Consider the following 25483-nt stretch of genomic DNA (forward strand, 5'->3'; position numbering starts at 1 on the left):
GTAGCTGGGACTACAGGTGCATACCACCACGCCTGGCTAATTTTTTGTATTTTTAGTAGAGATGGAGTTTCACCGTGTTGGCCAGGCTGGTCTTGAACTCCTGACCTCAAGTGATCCGCCCACCTTGGCTTCCCAAAGTGCTGGGATTATGGGCGTGAGCCACCACGCCCAGCCAGAAAACATATTTTCTTGTAATAAATATGTTTACTATCTGGAATTTTTTTCCTTTGGAGAATCCAACCTAATTCACATTTTATACATGCATCTAATTAACCAACTTCAAAATATATCAAGAAAAACAGGAAAAACTGAAAAATAGGGAATTCTGCTATTATAATGGGAGACTTTAATATTTCTTCCTCAATAGCTGAAAAAAAGACAAAAGTTAGTAAAGGAAGACAACTCACAGAATGGGGAAAAATTAGCAAATAATATATCTGGTAGGGGACTTATATATAGAATATAGAGAGTATGCTTACAACTCAATAATAAAAAGGCAAATAGCCCAATTTCAAAATGGGCAAAGAGACAGTGAAATGACCAATAGCACATGAAAAAATGTTCAGTATCAGTGGCTGAAATTAGAACGAAAGAAATCTAAAATGGCACGACCGCTTTGGAAAATGGTTTGGCAGCTCCTCAAAACATTAAACATAGAATTACCATATGACCCAGCAATTCCAATCCTAAGTATACATCCAAGAGAACTGAAAACATATCTACACAAAATCTTGCACATAAATGTTCACAGCAGCATTATTCATAATAGCCAAAATGTAGAACCAACTCAAATATCCATCAATTGATGGATAAATAACCAATGTGATATATATCCAAACAACGGAGTATTATTCAGACATTTAAAAATAAATGAGGCCTGGCACAGAGGCTCACGCCTGTAATCCCAGGACTTTGGGAGGCCGAGGAGGGCAGATCACGAGGTCAGGAGGTCAAGACCATCCTGGCTAACACAGTGAAACCCCGTCTCTACTAAAAATACAAAAAAATTAGCCGGGCCTGGTGGCGGGCGCCTGGAGTCCCAGCTACTCAAGAGGCTGAGGCAGGAGAACGGTGTGAGCCCGGGAGGCGGAGCTTGCAGTGAGCCGAGATTGCTCCACTGCACTCCAGCCTGGGTGACAGAGCGAGACTCCGTCTCAAAAAAAAAAAAAAAAGAAACGAAATGCTGATACATGCTACAACATAGACGTACATTGGAAATATTATGCTAAATGAAAGAAGCCAGTCATAAAAGATTACATTTTGTATAATTCTATTTATATAAAATGTCCAGAATACGTAAAGCTATGAAGACAGAAAGTAGATTACTGTATAAGGCTGGGGAGAAGGTGGTTTGGGGAGGAAATGGGGAGTGACTGCTAATAGGTGTGAGGTTTCTATTTAGGTTATAAAAACATTCTTGCCGGGTGCAGTGGCTCACGACTGTAATCCCAACACTTTGGGAGGCCAAGGTGGGCGGATCACCTGAGGTCGGGAGTTCGAGACCAGCCTGACTAACATGGAGAAACTCTGTCTCTACTAAAAATACAAAATTAGCTGGGCGAGGTGGCACATGCCTGTAATCCCAGCTACTCAGGAGGTTGAGGCAAGAGAATTGCTTGAACCCAGGAGGCAGAAGTTACGGTGAGCCGAGATCACACCATTGTACTCCAGCCTGGGCAACAAGGGTGAAACTCAATCTGTCTGTCTGTCTGTCTGTCTGTCTGTCTGTCTGTCTCTCTCTCTCTCTCTCTCTCTCTATATATATATATATATATAAAATATATATATATTCTCAAATTAAATAGTAATAATGGTTGAATGAGTCTGTAAATATACTAAAAATCATGGGATCGCACATTTTACATTGGTGAATTTACAGTATGTAACATATCTCAATAAAGCTGTTATTAAAAAAAGAAAAGATTCTATAGTGGCAGTGGTTGGGTTATGATTACCCTTTTTGGGAGGCAGTGAATGAAACAGTTTCTGAGTATTGATAATGCTCTGATTCTAGCTACAGGAGTTTGTTCACTTTGTGAAAATTCATCAAATTGCACACTTTTCCTTTTTGGGTCTTACATCCTTATAAACAGTTTACTTTTAAAACAGACAGACAAATACATACCAACAGGTGGACCTGCTGGCACAACACATTTCTTTTCTATTCGTGTGGCAGGAGGTGCATTCTGGTTCTTAGCAACATTTTCCTGTATTAATTCCTGAACCCGGGCTTCATTAATCTCTGGGAAAGGAAGAATATGAACTCGCAAATGGGATCCTTCTGTTGGCCGTGGAACTTTCTGGAATGCCATATGAGGATTTGGATTCTCCTGTAATATCAGACATAGGTAAAATTACTCCAAGTTAAAATAACAATGGCAGATCACCAGGAAGGGAGTGGGAGCTTACAGGGACACGAGCTGGGTAGTTATACATACATTCATATATACGCCATAAAACATGAAGTACCAAAATCTTACTTCTTCTTACATGCTCTATCAGCAGCATCTGATACAGCTTGGCATCTGTCTTCCTCTTCCATGAACACTTTCTTTACTTGGTTTCTAGGTCTTCTTGCTACATCTTTGTCTATTTCTCATCTCCCTAATCCCTTAACAATGTGAATATCTCAGGGCTCAGTCCTTGGGTCTTTTTTCTATTAACATTCATTCCTTGGTGATCACTTCCAGTCTCCTATCTTTAAACCATAAAAATACCAACAATTCACAAGTTTTTTTCTTTAAACAAGTTTTCTCCTAAACCCCATACCCACATGTTTAACTCTCTATACAATATTTTCACTTGGATTTTTTAAAAAATTCTAAACCTATGTCCAGAATGCAGCTCTTAATCTTCACCCACCTCTATCCCTGCTTTCTTCAGTCTTCCTCACATCAGTAAATGGCACATTTATTTTTTCCAATCATTTAGACAAAAAGCTTAGAGTTATCTTTAATGCCATTCTCTAACACCCAACTATCCATTCCTCTGCAGATCTTGTGGACTTGACCTTTAAAATGTTTACAACTTGGCCAGTTTCACAACACTTTGGTTCAAGTCAACACCTCACGTTACAGCAATACAACAGTCTCCTAGTCTCCCTGCTTCCACCTGTACTCCTTCATTCAACACTGCAGACTATGTGATCTAGTTAAGAGTATGTCAGTTCATCACATAACCGTTCTGTTCATTCCAATGGCTTGTCATCTCACTCACAATAAAACCCAAAGTTCTTAAAACAACTTACAACACCCTACAAGATCTGGCCTTTCTATATGATGTGTCCTGCCATGATTTCTTTCATTTTTTTCTGCTCTAGACACACAGAACTTCTTGTTCCTGACTCAAAGCCTTTGCACTTAACTGTTCTCTCTGCCTGGAATGCCTGTGCCCCATGAATCTGTACAGCATCCTCCTTCCTTTCTTGCATTTCTTAGCTCAAAAGCCACCTTTCCCAATCACCTTATCTTAAATTATACTCTCTTCCCCAACACACTCCCTATCCCTGTTATATTTTTCTCTATATCACTTATCACTCTCTCACATACTTTACATTTTATTTAACTTGTTTATTGTCTATCCTTCTCTCCATAAAATAAAGCTCCATGAGAGTAGACGTATACCTACTGCATCTAGAAACTGCCTGGCACACAGCAGGCACTCTAAAGCTCTTCCCACTGCATCTTAATGAGGGGGACACAATGCTGAACACACATAAGGATTGCAAGAATTGAATTAAATGTGTCAGCTAATATTTTTGTAGACTCTTTGGGTTGGCATGAACTTTTTAGTCATCTAGTTAAGCAGGATTAGATCTCAAACACTCCAGGTAGAATGGAATCCATTCTTTCATAAAGTTCTCTAGGGAAGGCTGCTTTACAACTATTCTTGACCAATTCTAACACTTATTCTTTGCGACCAGAAAATTCCTTATTCCCACTGAACTTATGTTATTCATGCTGTAGATTAAACTCAATACTATCCCATATATCCTATTTTTTTTTTTTTTTAGACGCAGTCTTGCTCTGTCGCCCAGGCTGGAGGGCAGTGGCGTGATCTCGGCTCACTGCAAGCTCCACCTCCCGGGTTCACACCATTCTCCTGCCTCAGTCTCCCGAGGAGCTGGGACAACAGGGCCCACCACCACGCCCGGCTAATTTTTTGTATTTTTAGTAGAGACAGGGTTTCACTGTGTTAGCCAGGACGGTCTTGATTTCCTGACCTCGTGATCCACCCGCCTCAGCCTCCCATACATCCTCTTGACACTTAAAATGGCCAACTGCCATCACTTCTTAGGGCTGCTCCCCACAATTCTTTTTGGTTATATGGCCCAGACCTAGATAAAGAAAATGTTGGGCTAAGGCAGATGATATAGCTAGTATGCCTCAGCAATATAATAGAAACACACTGCTTCCTCCCACTGCCGTAAGTGTCAAAACACATGGGTTCCAGTTCTTGCTCTAGTCCTTATTATGTGATGCAGGGAAAACAACTTTGCCTAAGTTATATAATTAAGCTTATCTTATATAAGGCTCCTCAGAAGGTGAAATCAGATTTAAAATCTGTTCTTGCCAAAGCAGCTCTCATACATGCTCTGTATTTCCCCCCATATCTAGCAAAGACAGGGAAAAATAAGTAAGTAAATCCTTAGTCCAACTCTTAGTAATCACTCTTTCTAAACCAAATGTTGAAAAAGTGTTTTACAATTCTGTCTGGACTTAACACCAATGTCACTGGCCTGTAGTGTCTAAAACTGCCCTTTTCAAAAAGTAGTGTTTTTGTTCTTCTCTGTTCTTTAGGCATGACTCTTACTCATATACTGTCTTCCCAAAAATAATAAATATCAATTCTCTAAAACATATTGGGTAGGTATCTTTTTTTTCAGGCTGGCCAGGTAATTCATATGGATCTTGAGGTCTGAATTATTTAAAGTATATTCATTACTTTGGTTTCTATCTATATTTTCTTTATAATAAAAATTAAAACTCTAAATATATTTCCCATGAAGTAAATATTTATAATAAAATTTAAAACTTGGAAAAATAAAAGTAGAAATAATCTTAGTAACACCAGTATTTTTTCTAGTTATATATATATATTTTTCTCTATTGTTATATTATCTGTCTTCTGTCTTTTTCCAAAAATGACTTGGGGTGGTTTAGAAAAAGCAGGATGCATTGGCCAGGCACAGTGTCTTATGCTTATGTAATCTCAGCACTTTGGGAGTTCGGAGTGGGCAGATCACTTTAGTCCAGGAGTTCAAGACCAGTCTGGGCAACATAGTGAGACCCCATTTCTACAAAAAAATAAAAAATTAGCCAGGCATGGTGGTGCCTGCCCATGGTCCCAGCTACTCAGGGGACTGAGGGAGGAGGATAGTTTAAGCCTGGGAGATGGAGGCTGTGGTGAGCTGTGATTGCACCACCACACTCCAGCCTGGGTGACAGAGTGAGACCTTGTCTCAAGAAAGGAAAAAGAAAAAGAAAAAGAAGGATGCACATATCACTTCTAGTCAAAATCTCTAAAGAGTTGGTCCTATAATTTGGTAAGTTCATCCTAAACTTCATAGGGACATACAAAGACCAAAAATAGTCAAGGAAATTCTGAAGAAGAGTTAAGTGGGAGAGTTAAGATTTCCAGATATCAAAACTTACATAAACCTTTAATAATTAATACAGTACAACAACTGTTATTAGTGAAGGGTTAAAAGGATGAATGGAATAGAATAGAGAGCCCCAAAACAGGACTATGTGAGAAAATATGATAGAGATAGGTGGCATGACAATTCAGGGGGAAAGGTTAGACAATTCAATGAGAGGTAGTATAACAAAGTATTTTTAGTTCATGATCTCTGATTTCAGAACGCCTCGTTTCAAACTCTAGCTTGGCCACTTACTAGTAGTGTGACCTGGTGCAGTGTCAATTCACTTACCCCATGTGTTGTAGTTTTCACATCTGTAAGGAAGATAATAATATAGTACCTACTTCATAAGGTTCTTATGAGTATTGAACGAGCTGTTACAGTAAAGCTGTTAGAACACACAAACACACACACACACACCACCCCAGAATGAATCTAAAGGCTGTTTTCCAAAAATTTTGGCTACATTCATTTAAAAAATATGTATTCTCTTATTCTCTGCATATTCTATGGCATGGTACCATGCTTCTATAACTAAAGCCATCTCTTTCTCCCAAGATTTCCAACACATTACCAACTACTTACATTTTAGTAATTATAGTAGTAGTATCCAATATGTTTTTTGTTTGTTTGTTTGTTTTTGAGACAGAGTTTCACTTTGTTGTCCAGGCTGGGGTGCAGTGGCGCGATCTCTGCTCGCTGCAACCTCTGCCTCCCGGGTTCAAGTGATTCTTCTGCCTCAGCCTCCCAAGTAGCTGGGATTACAGGTGTGCACCACCACGCCTGGCTAATTCTTTTGTATTTTTAGTAGAGACGGGGTTTCACTATGTTGTTCAGGCTGGTCTCAAACTTCTGACCTCGTGATCCACCAGCCTCAGCCTCCCAAAGCGCTGGGATTACAGGCGTAAGCCACCACGCCCAGCCCTCCAATAAGTTTTAAATAGAGTCTTCCCAGAAGCAATTAGAAATATTGTAAACCAAATCCATACACAATTTAGAATTACAAGCATTAATTTACAAGCTTGTAAAAAAGATCATGTTAAAACAAAGTTCAAAGTTGAATATCTGTAGTTATATAGATATTCTACACCAAAATGCAGATTAGGGATTTTGTTAAATTATGATATATTTAGCTGTGTTTAGAAGATTCGAAAAAGACTTATGCCCCAGAATACAGTAATATTTGGTTTTCTGGCTCCTGAGTCTGTATACTGCTGCCCTCTAACGGGCAGCATGATAAATGTAAAGGACCACATTTGCTACCTTGAACCTAACTTGGTCGCGAAATGACTTTTGAGAAGACAATAGCAATGAGAGGAAGTTTAGGGTAGGGCTCACTGTATTCTGCATATACTTAAAAACATCTGCTTTTACTTGTAACACAAGATGTGTTTGGACTGGTCCCTTGAACGTCACCAAGCTCATTAAAAGCTACAGCCAAATTTTGTGTTGAATCTCCTTGTTGAAATAAGGAAATCCGTTATTTTCCGACAGTACAAAGCAGCAGCCAAATTTTCATCTTTGATTCCAGAGAAATGCAAATATAAAGTAATAAACAAGGGCTAGACAACTAAACACTTACAGTGAACCTGGCAACATTTTTTTCCAAAGTAACCAAAATAAACTACTGAAAAGAGTTTGGCAGAATGCACTGTCTTTTACATTTTGAATTTGGATAATGATTTTCAAGGAATGGTCTCTATAATCCTGCTTTAAGAGTATACTTTAGTAATTCGAGGTAGAATGATTTTTCTCAGACATGAAAAAGTGACATATACACACATCATCTGGTCTGCAGCACCCCTCCCCCCTGCAGCACGCCCAGCTACCCCCAGCTTTGGTAGGCTAAGTGAGAATATGCCTAGGGGTTACAGAATACAAGGCTTGAAACTAATTTCAAATAAAAGCAAAGCAAGGCACAACAAAAGCCCCAAACCCCAATGGAAATTCAAAGTAGGCAACAGCCACCTTGGGAAAAAGAAAATTTTTCCTATGTATTGGTCTCAGCACTGAAAGACAAATCAATATGATATTGTTAGAGCTTATCAAGTTTCCCAGATTAATTCAAGTATTTGAAATTATTTAACGTGCACAAATTATACTTAGAGCTATGTGGGATAGCAAGTGACACAAATTTTTTTTCTAATACAGTTGATGGCAATACTGTCACTGGAGTAAATTGTTAAACATTGTCAAAACGTAACTGGACTCTTTAGAGTTGCCTGGTAGTGTACATGACATTGATGGAATGACTCATCCTCAATTTTCCAACTTCATAGGACTTTCAAGGATCACATCCTTGTGAGATGACTGAGACATTCAACTGAATGTCTTATCCTTAATACAAGTAGATGACTTTAATATTTGATATGCTGGTTGCCCTAATTCAGGGTTTCTCAACCTATGCACTAATTGACATTTGGGCTTGATAATTATTTGCGATAAAGAGTAGGTGTCTTGTGTATTGTAAGATGTTTAGAAGTATCTTTGGCCTTTATCCACTAGATGACAGTAGCACAGTCCCTCCAACTGTGACCACCAAAAATGTCTCCAGACCAATTTCATGAAGTAGGGTGGGAGGGTTGCTCCTGTTGAGAACCACTGCTCTAATTCATGACTCCAGATAGAGATTTCCTATTCTAAGACAAGTACTCTTGTCACAAGTACGAAGGCAACATACAGTGACCAGCTAACAGTCCTATACTCTCACTCACCTGCTGAAATACAAATTAGAATCACAATGAGATACCACCACATACCTGTTGGAAAGGCTAAAACAAGACACCCCCAACACCGCCCAAAAAAAAAAAAAAAAGAAAAGAAAGAAACCAGCCGGGTGCAGTAGCTCATGCCTATAATCCCAGCACTTTGCGAGGCCGAGGCGGGTGGCTCACGGGAGTTCGAGACCAGCCTGATCAACATGGAGAAACCCCGCCTCTACTAAAAATATAAAATTAGCCAGGTGTGGTGGTGTATGCCTATAATCCCAGCTACTTGGGAGGCTGAGGCAGGAGAATCGCTTGAACCCAGGAGGCAGAGGTTGTGATGAGTCAAGATTGTGCCATGGCACTCCAGCCTGGGCAACAACAGCGAAACTTTGACTCAAAAAAAAAAAAAAAAAAAAAAAAAAAAGAAAAAAAGAAACCAACTGACAATACCAAGTGTTAGTAAAGATGTGGCACAAATGGAATGCTAATATACTGCTGGTGAAAATGCAAAATAACGTAGACACTTGAGAAAACAGTTTGGCAGTTTCCTATACAGTTAAATATTGTATTACCATATATTCCAGCCTCCCACTCCTAGGTATTCATACAAGAGAAATGAAAACTTATATTTATACAAAAACTTATGCAAATGTTTGGGGTGGTTTTATTCATTATTGCTAAAATTGTCTTTCAGTTGGTCAACAGGTAAATAAAACTTTAGTCCATCCATAAAGTGGATTACCACTCAGAAAAAGGAATAAACAACTGTATGAAGCAACATGATTGAATCTGAAATGCACTGTGCTAAGTGAATGAAGCTAAACTCAAAAAACTACATAATGCCATTATGGAAAAGGCAAAACTATACAGACAAAAAAATTGATCAGTGGTTGCCAAGTGTTTGAGGTGGTGGGAAGATGTGACTATAAAGGAGAATTAAGGAACTTTGGGGGAGTGATAGAAATACTCTACCTACTTATTGTGATGCTAGTGGTTGTATGACTTCATGCATTTGTCAAAACTCGTAACTGTAGATTAAAAAGTATACATTTTACTGTATATAAAAATTAGATCATGATAAACCTGACTTATAAGTGAACAAAGAAATCAGATAGGACGGGAGGGGGGTTCAATTTGAAGCCTATGCTTTGCGGGCAGGGCTTCATTTCATCATCATTATCTATATAAGTCGTTTATGTCTATGTCTTGACTCTCTAAAGGTAATCACAATATTTTACTTCCTTCCTATAATTAAAAAATTCCTTTATTCACAGTTGGCAAACAGTATAAATATCATCAGTGTAGATGACATGTAGTGAAATTAACCTGGTAGTGAAATTAACATTTTGCGGAAATGTAAAGGGCGTAGATTTTATTTGATTTGGACTAGTTATTTCTTGTATTTGAGTTTTGTTCTCCCATTAGGATTCTATTTGGTTCAATGCTGGGCAATGAAATATCCATAAGGCACAATTATAAATCTCATATTCTTCTTCTTCTTCTTCTTCTTTTTTTTTTTTTTTTTTTGAGACGAAGTCTTGTCTTGCTGCCCAGGCTGGAGTGCAATGACGTGATCTCGGCTCACTGCAACCTTTGCCTCCCAGGTTCAAGCGATTCTCCTGCCTCAGCCTCCCGAGTAGCTGGGATTACAGGCACATGCCACCACACCTGGCTAATTTTTTGTATCTTTAGTAGAGATGTGTTTCACCATGTTGGGCAGGCTGGTCTCCAACTCCTGACCTCATGATCTGCCCGCCTCGGTCTTCCAAAGTGCTGGGATTACAGGCGTGAGCCACTGCGCCTGGCCCAGATATCTGATATTATTTTACACAGAATTTTAAGTTCTTTAATATTTCCTTTAACTTTTTCTAAAACTGTCAGACAAAGCCAGGTATGGTGGTAAGTGTCTGTAGTCCCAGCTACTTGGGAGCGTGAGGTGGGAGGATCGCTTGAGCCCAGAAGTTTGAGGCTGTAGTGCATTATGTTTATGCCCGTGAATAGCCACTGTACTTCAGCCTGGGCAACAAAGCGAGACACCACCTCCAAAATAAAAAGCAAAAAACAATAAAACAAAAATTGTCAAATTACATATCTAGCAAATATTTTTATACTATTGCAGATGCAAAACAAATTACAAAAACTGTACTATGTAAAACAATAAAACACATGTCCAACTGATTTCTTTTCTTTTTTTTTGTTGTTGTTGTTTTTTGTTTTTTTTTGAGATGGAGTCTCGCTCTGTTGCCCAGGCTGGAGTGCAGTGGCGTGATCTCGGCTCACTGCAACCTCCACCTCCCGGGTTCACGCCATTCTCCTGCCTCAGCCTCTCCGAGTAGCTGGGACTACACGCGCCCACCACCATGCCCAGCTAATTTTTTTGTATTTTTAGTAGAGACGGGGTTTCACCGTGGTCTCGATTTCCTGACCTCGTGATCCACCTGCCTCAGTCTCCCAAAGTGCTGGGATTACAAGCGTGAGCCACCGCACCCCACCCAACTGATTTCTTAATGCCCTGAAGTAGAAGTTTTATGAAGTTCTTGTCTTGGCCTATCTTTTTGTCTTGGCCTATCTTAATGTTCTCACTTTGTGAAAACATTTATTAGTGGTCCTTTATATGTGCATATCAAGAATCATAGAGGCCAGGGGCATTGGCTTACCCCTGTAATCCCAACATTTTAGGAGGCTGAGGTAGGAGGACTGCTTGAGGCTAGGAGTTCAAGACCATCCTGGGCAACATAGTGAGACCCTATCTCTACAAAAAAATTACAAAAAATTAGCTAGGCATGGTGATGTGTGCCTGTAGTCCCAGCTACTAGGAAGGCTGAAGCAGGAGGATTGCTTGAACCTAGGAGGTCAAGGTTGCAATGAGCTATGATCAAGCCACTGCACTCCTTTCTGGGTGACAGGGCATGACCCTGTCTCTTTAAGAAAAAAAAAAAAAAAGAATCATAGGGATAGGGCAGGGAAGTAGTTACTTGTGTTCTCATGCAGACACTGAAGATTCTGAAAGCCAAAAAAGTAGGCCAACTCCTACATTATGAATTGGGAATGGAAAGAAGCTGCATAGAGGTGTTGCCGATAATCTCTGTTACAATATCTTTTTTACAATAATCTTTGTTACCAATGCTTACACTGTTTGTCTCTAGTGGGTTTAGTCATTTCCTTCTCCTTCCTTCCACCTAACCCATTCCCCCAAAGTCACCAAATGCCTTTCTTAATTATTTGGGAAGCTCCAGAAAGCTAAAAGAGCAGCTAAGCTCAGTTACAATTCATCCTACTCACATTCCTAAAATCTCACTAAAAAGCAATATAAAGGAGTGGTGAGAAGAGACAGGAAAATTAAGGTGTATTTTTGAGGTGCTTCAAAGGGAAATGAAAAGAGGGCCTAGATACACATACCAGACTTCAGTGCAATAAAGTATTTACAAACATCTGAATGGAATCACCAGGTCTCAATTCCAACCCAATAACAAGGAAAGAGTCAAATTAGATGGCTGGTTCTTGCTTATCAAAAGGGAATTTTAGAAATGTGATTAAAAAAACAACAACTGACTAGTTAAAAATAGAACCATGTGGATTATTTTCCTCGCATTGATACCATCCTGCCTCCCTTCCCCCAATTTCCTGCATAACCTAAGAAAGTAACTTTACTATCATGTTCTGTTTTTTAACTTTATAAAGTATTTACTTCATGAATGATGATTTTGTCATCACGGACTTCAGAATCTTAGCACTAGAAGGAATCTCAGACAATCTAATGACAATCCACTGGGACAGTCACAAATTCTTACTTGTCATGTCTGTGTATCCTTTTCTGAAGGATATTAGGAGAATTACGTACCTAGAATATGCCTGGCACTAATAAGTACTTAACTAATAGAATTTATTAAATTAAATGAAATATAATTAGATTGTGAAAAAAATTTCCAATAAGGCCTATGAAATGTAGAAGACATTTGAAGGGCTCTTACCTAGTAATATAATCTCTTAATAATAATACTTCACGATGATCACTTTTAAAGTGTCAATTTTAAAGAATAGGGATTGTCCATGTTTTTGTTTGTTTGATTGTTTTTGTTTGTTTGTTTTTGTTTTTGAGACAGGGTCTCACTTTATCACCCATGCTGGAGTGTGGTGGCAGGACTTCGGCTCAATGTAGCCTCAACCTTCTGGGCTCAAGCCTCGACCTCCTTGGCCGAGGCGAGTGGATCCCTTGAGCCCAGGAGTTCCAGATCAGCCTGGGCAACACGGTGAAACTCCGTCTCCACCAAAAAATACAAAAAAAGTAGCTGGGTGTGGTGGCATACGCCTGTAGTCCCAGCTACTCAGGAGGCTGAGGTAGGAGGATTGCTGGAGCCCAGGAGGTCGAGGCTGCAGTAAGCCGAGATTGTGCCACTGCACTCCAGCCTGGGCAACAGAGTGAGATCTTGTCTCAAACAAACAAAAAGAACAACATGTAAAGTCAACTACTGGAAACATCGTTTTTTCCTATTGGAGGCGATCCAGCCTTATAGTGAAAGAACATAGGCTTAGGAAATGAATAGATGAAAATTCCTAATTTAAAATCTGGATTTAATCACTTAAGAGTCATATGATTCTGAGCCAATTAGCCCCACTAAAATGGGGATAATGACACCTGCCTTACATTGTCGTTATGAGGATGAGAGATAATTGTATGTAAAGTGCTTAATTCCATGCCTGGCACAATATAGCTAACTGCTCTCATGCAGACACTGAAGATTCTGAAAGCCAAAGTGGGCCAACTCCTGCATCATCAACTGAGCATGGAAAGAAAAGCAGTATGTTTATACATGAACTCAATATTTATTATTATTATAATAGGTCAAAAGAAATTTCTCATATGATCATGCTGTAATTACTTCTACACAGCCACTATAAGTGGCAAAGACCAGCATACAACACAAGTTTTCCTTCTAACAGAATTCTACCAGATTTCTTTTTTAAGTTTTAGTATACTAATCAGGAAACACATTTATTATATCAGGCATGGTTATAAATAACTAAAAATGTGATCAGTCAATAAATTAAAGTAACAGATCTTGGCATGCAAGTTGCCAGAAAAATAATTTATTTATACTTTTGCTAAACCAGTATTATGATTTAATGTGTGATGTATTTAGAAATCTGAAAATATTGCTTCTTAGTAAAGAAGCTAATAATCTACAAGTAACAGTCAATTAAAGTACTTCTGTGTTAAGTAATTTAAAATTGAAATTAAATTCATCTTTTTTTTTTTTTTTTTGAGACAGGGTCTTGCTCTGTTGCCCAGGCTGGAGTACGGTGGCTCAATCATAGCTTACTGCAGCCTCAAACTCCTTGGCTGAACTCCTGGGCTCAAGCAATCCTCCCACCTCAGTCTCCTGAACAGGCAGGACTATAGGTGTCCATCACCACATGTAATTTTTTTTTTTTTCAAGACAGAGTCTTGCTCTGTCATCTAGGCTGGATGCAGTGGTGTGATCTCGGCTCACTGCAACCTCTGCCTCCCGGGTTCAAGCAGTTCTCCTGCCTCAGCCTCCCAAATGGTTAGGATTACAGGCACGTGCCACCATGCCCGGCTAATTTTTGTATTTTTAGTAGAGACGGGATTTCACCATGTTGGCCAAGCTGGTCTCGAACTCCTGACCTCAAGTGATCTGCCCGCCTCAGCCTCCCAAATGCTGGGATTACAGGCATGAGCCACCATACCCAGCCTCTTGTAATTAAAAAAAAAAAAAAAAAAAAAAAATTTGTAGAGATGGAGTCTCACTATATTACCCAGGCTGGTCTCGAACTCCTAGCCCCAAGCAATCCTCCTGCCTCGGCCTCCCAAAGTGCTGAGATCACAGGCATGAGCCACCACACTCAGCCTAAATTCATCTTTTAACAGGCACAAGAAATGTTATGGCTAATGATTTCTGCATGTGTTAGTAATATTACTGCTCCCTTAATATTACTGGCAGACCATATCTATTTCCAGAATTTATAATGAACCACTAGCAATTGATAAAACAGAACTTAAGAATTTTTTTTTTTTTTTAAGACGGAGTCTCACTCTGTTGCCCAGGCTGGAGTGCAGTGGCGAGATCTCGGCTTACTGCAAGCTCCGGTTCACGCCATTCTCCTGCCTCAGCCTCCGGAGTTACTGGGACTACAGGCGCCTGACACCGCGCCCGGCTAATTTTTTGTATTTTTTGTAGAGATGGGGTTTCACTGTGGTCTCGATCTCCTGACTTTGTGATCTGCCTGCCTCGGCCTCCCAAAGTGCTGGGATTACAGGCATGAGCCACTGCGCCCAGCAATAATTTTCTATTTACCAAAATTTAGATAAGCATAATTCATAAAAGATGGATTTTTTTGTTTTAATATGAAACCTCTGAACTTTACTTTGTTCTCTTTCAAAAAAGTATTTATTCCCTCAAAGAAAGATCACATTCTAAATGTAGAACTTAAAACTCAGAAATAATGGAATAACATAAAGAAACAAATGTTTTAGTATCCCTGCTTGTATCCAATTGGTTCTCAAATTTCAAATGAATGTGACAAAGCACTGACTAATAATCCAGTGTCCAAAAAGGTCCATCTAGTCAAATCACTAAATTAAACAATACCTGTTGTGAGTCAAGATACTGACCCTGAATTCTTCTTCACTATTTCCTTAAAAATACATCTTCCCCAGAAGCTAAATAAGTGGTACTCATTAAAGCTGGCAACAATAGACACCGAGGACTACTAGACAGGGGAGGAAAGGAGTAGGGAAAGGGGTGAAAAGTGACTACTGGGTACTCTGCTCAGTGCCTGGGTGATGGCATCAATCGTACCCTAAACCTCAGCATCACACACTAAGCCCAGCTAACAAATCTGCACATGTGCCCCTTAATCTAAAATAAAAGTTGAAATTATTTAAAAAACGTTTGAAATCGGCAAAAACAAAAGTTTACTTGATTTATAATTTCTTTTATTTTTTCAAGAGATATACAACCAATAACCACCATCTTATTAGTAAGATTTTAATGTTCAATTCTATATTTCCCTTATGAAAAGACTAATGAGAAAATGTATAACCATTATTATATTTTAATCTTTGGATGCCAATATTATATTTAAATCAATGATATGGCTTTAAATTTAGATCGGTTGAGTTGTCTTTGCAGAAGTTATTTGCTATACAGATAAAGTATATGTTAGAACCACAAATTAAAAGAAAATTTCTACTTTGACAATGTTTAGATTAGAAACAGTATCGAATGTTACATTTCTGTCTTCCAGAATATTTTTTTGTTTACTAAAGTCAGGACCTAATCGTAATGAAAAAAAATCACATCTTCCCTCAACTTTTCCCTGGAGGACTATAGTTCCGACTTACTTTACTTTTCTTAGGACTCAAAACTTCACAGCAGAAGAAATAAGGAACACTCATTAGCCCAAATCCATTTTTCCATATGAATATAATCTCTGTCATTTTATGCTCTTTTCTTTCCTGGTGTTCAAATAGTTATTTCACACTTTATCACATCCGAGTCCTTTTAACTTACTGCATTTCCTCTATCCATGGAATATTTTCATCCTTGTGTTTCTGTGGTCACTTGTCAATTTGCTTTTTTTCTTTCAGCTTTTCGCTCCCTCTGTTCAAAACAATGCAACTCCTGACCAGCTGACAACCGCAGTGCCAAGCCAAAGCAGAGGACACTGGTCGGTTCTGTCTGAGGTGGTTCTGGTCTCCAGTGAGTCTAATCTTTATGTCTTACAAGAGACCCAAATGAAAACCATAATGAGGGCAAATGACTAACTGAAAAAATTGTGACTAACATGTTTTCATAACACACTGACTGACAGGAAAATTACTTTGAAAAATGTGGTCTATTTTGATATACAGTACCAACTGTAATATCTCATAATTTACAATCCAGAGCAAAAAAACTATCACAGGAAGCTTTCTAGTTCTGTGAACAAAATACTTTATTTAACAGTATATTTTTAAAATTAATGACTGTCTAAATAGAGTGGATCATGGCAGATGGGAGGCAGGACTAGATTGCAGCTCCAGACAGAGAAGCATGTGGAGGCTTGCATTGTGAGTTTCAGCTCTAGATCAACTGCAAGAACAAACCAGCAATCTGGAGAGGAACCACAGATCCTCGGAAGGAAGTGAACTGCTCCTGCGGGATTCGGGAGACACCCCAAATACTGTGAGTGCCCCAACTGTCTAAGTGGGAAAGGGAGACCCTCCTCTCCCGAACACACACCGGAGAAGCTGAAGGTCTGTTTGTGGGAGAAGTTTCCGACTTTACCTAAAGCTGAGTCAAGTTAGAGAGCCAAGCGAAATACAGGGGTAGAGAAAGCAGCAGAAAGGCCCTGGGAGCTTGCCGGGTCCCAAAGCAGCCCATTCCTGCCTGGCACCACAGGGATCCCTCAGAAGGGTGGCCAGAGGAGCAGCAGGTAAAACTCCACAGGGAGAAGGAATTCTCTAGCTGAACTTTTTAACTATTTGAATGGGGTGAGAAGCCCCGGGGGTGGTGGGGGCTGCAAATCCGGGTTGCAGACTTCACAGGCAGGGGAAGAACTAAAGCACTTTTCTTTCACAGCTGGGAGGCGGATAGCCTCGGGCAAGTTTTCAAGCCCGTCTGGCAGCCCGTCTTGCCCTCTGCCTGGAAACAGACTCAGGGCTACTGGGGGGCACAGCGGGAGAGAAACTGGCCCTTCTGTTTGCGTGGGAGCTGGGTGAGGCCTGTGACTGCCGGCTTTCCCCCACTTTCCTGACAACTTGCATGACTCAGCAGAGGGAGCCATAATCTCCCTAGGTACACAACTCCAGTGAGCTGGGAATCTCACCCCCATCCCCCACAGCAGCTACATCAAGACCCGCCCAAAGAGAATCTGAGCTCAGACAGGCCTAGCTCCTTCCCAACCTGATGGTCCTTCCCTATCCACCCTGGTAGCAGAAGACAAAGGGCATATTATCTTGGGAGTTCAAGGGCCCCGCCCACCACTGGTCCCTCTCCACACTACTACACCTGATGCTTTCTGGAAGGCACCACCTCCTGACAGGAGGCCAACCAGCGCAAAAACAGAGCATTAAACCACCAAAGCTAAGGGCCCTCATGGAGCTCACTGCACCCTCCGCCACCTCCACCGGAACAGGCACTGGTATCCACAGCTGAGAGACCCATAGACGGTTCACATCACAGGACTCTGTGCAGACAATCCTCAGTACCAGCCTGGAGCCAGGGAGACTCGCTGGGTGGCTAGATCCAGGAGAGACAACAATCACTGCAGTTCGGCTCACAGGGAGTCACATCCATAGGAAAAGAGGGAGAGTACTACACCAAGAGAACACTCTGTGGGACAAAATAATCTGAACAACAGCCTTCAGTCCTAGACCTTCCCTCTGACAGAGCTTACCCAAATAAGAAGGAACCAGAAAACCAACCCTGGTAATATGACAAAACAAGGCTCTTCAACATCCCCCCAAAAATCACACTAGTTCACTAGTAATGGATCCAAACCAAGAAGAAATCTCTGATTACCTGAAAAAGAACTCAGGAGGTTAGTTACTAAGCTAATGAGGGAGGGAGCAGAGAAAGGCGAAGCCCAATGCAAGGAAATCCAAAAAATGATACAAGAAGTGAATGGAGAAATATTCATAGAAATAGATAGCTTAAAGAGAAAACAATAAAAAATTCAAGAAACTTTGGACACACTTTTAGAAATGGGAAATGCCCTGGAAAGTCCCAGCAATAGAACTGAACAAGTAGAAGAAAGAAACTCAGAGCTGGAAGACAAGGTCTTTGAATTAACCTAATCCAACAAAGACAAAGAAAAAAGGGTAAGAAAATATGAACAAAGCCTCCAAGAAGTCTGGGATTATGTTAAATGACCAAACCTAAGAATAATCGCTGTATCTGAGGAAGAAGATAATTCTAAAAGCCTGGAAAACATATTTGGGGGAATAATTGAGGAAAACATCCCCGGCCTTGCAAGAGACCTAGACATCCAAATACAAGCAGCACAAAGAACACCTGGAAATTCATTGCAAAAAGATCTTCGCCTAGGCACATTGTCATCAGGTTATTCAAAGTTAAGACGAAGGAAAGAATCTTAAGAGCTATGAGACAGAAGCAACAGGTAACCTATAAAGAAAAACCTATCAGATTAACAGCAGATTTCTCAGCAGAAACTCTACAAACTAGAAGAGACTGGAGCCCTATCTTCAGCCTCCTCAAACGAAACAATTATCAGCCAAGAATTTTGTATCCAGTGAAACTAAACATCATATATGAAAGAAAGATACAGTCATTTTTCAGACAAACAAATGCTGAAAGAATTTGCCATTACCAAACCACCACTACAAGAACTGCTAAAAGGAGCTCTAAATCTTGAAACAAATCCTGGAAACATATCAAAACAGAACCTCTTTAAAGCATAAATCACACGGGACCTACAAAACAAAAATACAAGTTAAAAAGCAATAACAAAAAACAAAACCAAAGCCCACAGGCAACGAAGAGCACGATGAAAGCAACAGTACCTCACATTTCAATACTAACATTGAATGTAAATGACCTGAATGCTCCACTTAAAAGATACAGAACTGAAGAATGGATAAGAACTCACCAATCAACTATCTGCTGCCTTCAGGAGACTCACCTAACATACATAACGACTCACATAAACTTAAGGTAAAGGGGTGGAAAAAGGCATTTCATGCAAATGAACACCAGAAGCGAGCAGGGGTAGCTATTCTTTTTAGTTGTTTTTTTTTGTTTTGTTTTGTTTGAGATAGAGTCCTGCTCTGACATTCAGGCTGGCATACAGTGGTGCTATCTTGGCTTACTGCAACCTCTGCCTCTCAGGTTCAAGTGATTTTCCTGCCTCAGCTTCCCAAGTAGCTGGGATTACAGGCACTCGCCACCATGCCTGGCTAATTTTTGTATTTTTAGTAGAGACAGGGTTTCACCATGTTGGCAAGGCTGGTCTCAAACTCCTGACTTCAGGTGATCCTCCTGCCTTGGCCTCCCAAAGTGCTGGGATTACAGGTGTGCGACACCACGCCTGGCTGGGTAGCTATTCTTATATCAGGCAAAACAAACTGTAAAGCAACAGTGGTTAAAAAAGACAAAGAGGCACAGTATATAATGGTAAAAGGCCTTCTCCAGCAGGAAAATATCACAATCCTAAACATATATGCATCTAATACTGGAGCTCCCAAATTTATAAAACAATTACTAATAGACCTAAGAAATGAGATAGACAGCAACACAATAATAGTGGGGGACGTCAATACTCCACTGGCAGCATTAGACAGGTCATCAAGACAGAAAGTCAACAAAGAAACAATGGATTTAAACTACATCTTGGAACAAATGGACTTAATGGATATATACAGAACATTTCATCCAACTACCACAGAATACCCATTCTATTCAACAGCACATGGAACTTTCTCCAAGATAGACCATATCATAGGACATAAAACAAGCCTCAATAAATTTAAGAAAACTGAAATTTTATCAAGCACTCTCTCAAACCACAGTGGAATAAAACAGGAAATTGACGCCAAAAGGAACCTTCAAAACCTGCAAATACATGGAATTTAAATAACCTGCTCCTGAATGAGCATTCAGTCAAAAATGAAATCAAGATGGAAATTAAAAAATTCTTCAAGCTGAATGACAATAATGACACAACCTATCAAAACCTCTGGGATACAGCAAAGGCGGTGCTAAGAGGAAAGTTCACAGCCCTAAATGCCTACATCAAAAAGTCTGAAAGAGCACAAACAGACAATCTAAGGTCATACCTCAAGGAACTAGAGAAACAAGAACAAACCAAATCTAAACCCAGCAGAAGAAAGGAAATAACCAGGATCAGAGCAGAACTAAATGAAATTGAAACAAAAAAAAATTACAAAAGATAAATGAAACAAAAAGCTGGTTCTTTGAAAAGATAAATAAAATTGATAGACCATTAGCAAGATTAACCAAGAAAAGAAGACAGAAAATCCAAATAATCTCACTAAGAAATGAAACTGGAGATATTACACCTGACACCACTGAAATACAAAGGATCATTCAAGGCAACACCTTTACGCACATAAACTAGAAAACCTAGAAGAGATTGATACATTCCTGGAAAAATACAACCCTCCTAGCTTAAATCAGGAAGAATTAGATACCCTGAACAGACCGATAACAAGCAGCAAAATTGAAATGGTAATTAAAAAATTACCAACAAAAAAAAGTCGAGGACCAGATGGATTCACAGCAGAATTCTATCAGACATTCAATGAAACACCAGTACCAATCCTTTTGACACTATTCCACAAGATACAGAAAGAAGGAACTCTCCCTAATTTATTCTATGAAGCCAGCATCACCCTAATACCCAAACCAGGAAAGGACATAACCAAAAAAGAAAACTACAGACTAATATCCTTGATGAACACAGATGCTAAAATCCTTAACAAAATACTAGCTAACCAAATCCAACAACATATCAGAAAGATAATCCACCATGATCAAGTGGGTTTCATACCAGGGATGCAGGGATAATTTAACATACAAGCCAATAAATGTGATACACCACATAAACAAAATAAAAAACAGAAATCAAATGATCATTTCAATAGATGCAGACAAAGCACTGGACAAAATTTAGCATCCCTTTATGATTAAAGCTCTCAGCAGAACTGGCATACGAGGGACATACCTTAATGTAATAAAAGCCATCTATAACAAACCCACAGTCACCATAATACTGAATTGGGAAAAGTTGAAAGCATTCCCTCTGAGAACTGGAACAAGTGCCCACTCTCACCACTCCTTTTCAACATAGTACTGGAAGTCCTAGCCAGAACAATCAGACAAGAGAAAGAAATAAAGGGCATCTAAATCGGTAAAGAGGAAGTAAAACTGTCACTGTTTGCTGACGGTTATAATCATTTACCTTGAAAACCCCAAGGACTCCTCTAGAAAGCTCCTAGAACTGATAAAAGAATTCAGCAAAGTTTCCGGATCTGAGATTAATGTACACAAATCAGAAGCTCTTCAATAAACCAACAGCGACCAAGCAGAGAACCAAATCAAGAACTCAACCCCTTTACAATAGCTGCAAAAAAGTTAAAATCCTTAGTAATATATTTAACAAAGGAGTCCAAAGACCGCTACATGGAAAACTACAAAACACTGCTGAAAAAAATCACAGACAATGCAAACAAATGGAAACACATCCCATGCTCATGGATGGGTAGAACCAGTATTGTGAAAATGACCATACCACTGAAAGCAATCTACAAATTCAATGCAATCCTCATCGGAATACCATCATCATTCTTCACAGAATTAGAAAAAACAATTCTAAAATTCATATGGAACTAAAAAAGAGCCCGCATAGCCAAAGCAAGACTAAGCAAAAAGAACAAATTTAGAGGCATCACACTACCTGATTTCAAACTATACTATAAGGCCATAGTCACCAAAACAGCATGGTACTGGTATAAAAACATAGACCAATGGAACAGAATAGAGAACCCAGAAATAGACCTAAATACTTACAGCCAACTGATCTTTGACAAAGCAAACAAAAACATAAAGTGGGGAAAGGACATCCTTTTCAACAAATGGTGCTGGGATAATTGGTTAGCCACATGTAGGAGAATGAAACTGGATCCTCATCTCTCACCTTATACAAAAATCAACTCAATATGGATTAAGGACTTAAAACCTAGGACCTGAAACTATAAGAATTCTAGAACATTGGAAAAACCCTTCTAGACATTGGCTTAGGCAAGGATTTCATGACCAAGAACCCAAAAGCAAATGCAATAAAAACAAAGATGAATAACTGGGACCTAATTAATGAGCTTTTGCACAGCAAAAGGAACAGTCAGCAGAGTAAACAGACAACCCACAGAGTGGGAGAAAATCTTCACAATCTATATACATCTGACAAAAGACGACTATCCAGAATCTACAACAAACTCAAACAAATCAGTAAGAAAAAAACAATCCCATCCAAAAGTGGGCTAAGGACACGAATAGACAATTCTCAAAAGAAGGTATACAAATAGCCAATAAACATATGAAAAAATGCTCAACATCACTAATGATCAGGGAAATGCAGATCAAAGCCACAGCGCGATACCATCTTACTTCTGCAAGAATGGCCATAATCAAAAGATAAAAAAACAGTAGATGTTGGAGTGGATGTGGTAACAGGGAACACTTCTACACTGCTGTTGGGAATGTAAACTAGTACAGCTACTATGGAAAATGATGTGGAGATTCCTTAAAGAACTAAAAGTAGAATTACCATTTGATCCAGCAATCACACTACGGGGTTTCACCCAGAGGAAAAGAAGTCATTCTTCGAAAAAGATACTTGCACATGCATGTTTACAGCAGCACAATTCACAATTGCAAAATCACGGAAGTAACCCAAATGCCCATCAATGAGTGGATAAAGAAACTGTGCCAAATATATATATATATATACATATGCATACATACACATACACACACACACGTACACGATGGAATACTGTGCAGCCATGAAAAGGAATGAATTAACAGCATTTGCAGTAACCTGGATGAGATAGGAGACTATTATTCTAAGTGATGTAACTCAGGGATGGAAAACCAAACATTGTATGTTCTCACTGATACGTGGGAGCTAAGCTATGAGGACGCAAAGACATAAGAATGATACAATAAATTTTGGGGACTTGGGGTGAAGAGTGGGAGGGAGGCGAGGGATAAAAGACTACAAATATGGTGCAGTATATACTGCTTGGGTGATGAGTGCACCAAAATCTCACAAATCAACACTAAAGAGCTCACTCACGTAACCACGTAACACCCGTACCCCAATAACTTACGGAAAAATAAATAAATAAATAAAATTAATGACTGTCTAAATAAATATACTTACTTACATTTTTGAATAGTTGCTCAGCAAGTTCCCTGACATGCTTTATCATCTTCACTGGGTTATTTTCTTCAACTTTAATTCTCTCTACTTCAAAGGCTACCAACTAGGAAAAAGAATCAAATGGCAAAACATCAATTCCAAAATATGCCAAATTCAAAAACTGTGATAATTTCATACAATTTGCAAGCCAAAAAAATCCAACATATACATTATTTTTAAAACAAAATATTTCAGGTTTTGGGGTTTCACCTCCATTCTGGGGTTACAGGGTCAATCAAACCCTTGAATTGTCTAGTGGTTCCTCCCTGAGGATTTAGGGCCCTATTTCTTCTAGGGAAAAGTCATTTCTGGAACTCAGAGAGACCCTGTCATTCCACAGGCCTCAGTCAGAGAAATTCAGACAGTCAGAAAGTGTCTAAACATTTCCTTAACTCACAAAACATGAACCAAATGTTCAAGTCAGGATGCTCAGACTCTAGTCCTAGCTCTGCTGACAGTGTGTGATCTGGGACAAGGCACTTAAACTCCTAAGCTTCAGTTTTCTCATCTCTAAAATAAGATGGAAGAACAAGATGACCCTTAGACTCCTTCTAGTTCTCAAACTATCTCTTTATTAACTAATTTACTGGGAGAACTGTGTGAGTCTGTATACTTAGGGGTAAAGAAAAGAAGGCTGACAGAAAAAAAAAATTGTGGGGGGGTAAATAGATGGATGACAAAAATAAAAAGGTACAATACAGGATTCTTCTAGGAACTAATAGACTCACTGCATAGGCATATAAAACTATGGCTTACCTATTCTAGGCTAGGATAAAGAAAGACTGTCAAGGGCAAACATTCTTTTCATTCTAAGACATCTATCTGATGGAAGTGTGAGGACAAGGCCATGCACAATGCAAGCTGCCTCTCAAAGCCCCCATAACACCCCATTGTGGTAGGCTGCCTCAGGCTAAGTGAAAACAAGGATCACTTTCCCAGGAGCAAATGCTATTTTTCTACCAAAGCATTCCCATGCAAACGGCCAAAGAGGGTAGAATGAGAAATTATTTAGTTCTGATGGCTCATTTTTCTTAGGCTCTTGACTGATACATACATATGATTAGCTGGCAGTCAAGTAACATAAGTAAGACACCCAAAGTCACCACTGTAGGCCAAACAGAGAACTGGATGAACACTAAGGGGTGACTCAGTAGGAACCTTGGACAGAGTCCTTGCCTTATCATTGTTTCCAATCTAGACTATATTTGTACAAACAATAAATAAATAAAAAATAAGTTACCATATAAAGTTAGAGACAAAATGAAGCCTAACGCAGTCGAGTGGCTCTCAGAGTCAACGACTTTGGGAGAGTTTGGAAGAGATGGTGAGATAAGAGCAGAGTATGAAGAACAGAGGAGGGCACTCCAAGCAAGGGAAAGACCTACAAAAATAGAGGCTGTGGCAAGCAAGTTTTCTGCAAGTAACTAATCTCACTTTTTAGTTGTGATGAAGCTGTCAGAGGAAGATAAATTTGAATAGAAAAGAAAGAGTATATAAACCAATGTTACTATTCATAAAGCTTCAAAGACTAACAAAATGTAGGTGCTAGAAAAGACCTTGGAGAGCATCTATTTTAATCCCATAAAATATTATGTTATGAATTACTTAGTACAGAATCTAAAGGCTGATATGTTAGTAGAATCAATAACCAATCATATTAGATGGTAATATTAGAGAATCAATGACCAATAATTGATTAGAAAAACTTGTCCACCTCAGGATGTTTCCTAAATCTTCATATGCTTTGTGTTTTTAATTAAAGCATCTGATGCAGTAAACATATTCTACACAGAACTAAAATATGTGCCTCTTCTTTAAAAATTCTTACCTGTGAATACTTCACTATCTTTACAAAAAATAAAAGATCCTTCTCCTCTGAACCAAAGATATTTAAGACCTTGATTCCTACCTTCTCTATATAAAAGAAAATCACCAGAAGCAAAACATGATCACTGCCACGATTCTCCAATATCTTGGGTTCTAGGAGTGTTGTTCTTTTATAGATTTCAAGAAACTTTTTACATTTTTGGTTCTAATATAGTACTCTTTCAAAAATTGAAATGAGAATAATATTCTTGTTCTATCCACCAGAGTGGGCTGCTGTGAATATAGAGTTAAATGATAAAAGGAAAGATGCTTTTAAAAAAGAGCACAATAAATGCAAAAC

General features: G+C 39.2%; 1 protein-coding gene across 11 annotated transcripts in view, besides 1 other annotated feature; it reads right to left on the reverse strand.

The window, feature by feature from the left end:
• The window catches only part of SBF2 (SET binding factor 2), a 526174-nt gene that overhangs the window by 187548 nt on the left and 313143 nt on the right, over window positions 1-25483 (reverse strand). For all 11 annotated transcript variants that reach the window (NM_001425069.1, NM_001425070.1, NM_001424318.1 and 8 more), the window contains 2 exons: window positions 23282-23380; window positions 2126-2330 (listed from right to left, as the gene is read on the reverse strand). In NM_001425069.1, the coding sequence (NP_001411998.1) occupies window positions 2126-2330; window positions 23282-23380 (304 nt within the window). The remainder of the gene's footprint in view (window positions 1-2125; window positions 2331-23281; window positions 23381-25483) is intronic.
• Window positions 16261-17460: an enhancer, noted in NCBI's record as "MED14-independent group 3 enhancer chr11:10004023-10005222 (GRCh37/hg19 assembly coordinates)". NCBI's record gives its function as "activates an origin of replication core promoter dependent on BRD2, BRD4, P300/CBP and CDK7 cofactors, and independent of MED14, by STARR-seq in HCT116 cells {active_cell/tissue: HCT116}" and the evidence as "EXISTENCE:reporter gene assay evidence [ECO:0000049][PMID:35650434]".

Source organism: Homo sapiens, chromosome 11, assembly GCF_000001405.40.
Source record: "Homo sapiens chromosome 11, GRCh38.p14 Primary Assembly".
NCBI classification, from domain to species: domain Eukaryota; kingdom Metazoa; phylum Chordata; class Mammalia; order Primates; family Hominidae; genus Homo; species Homo sapiens.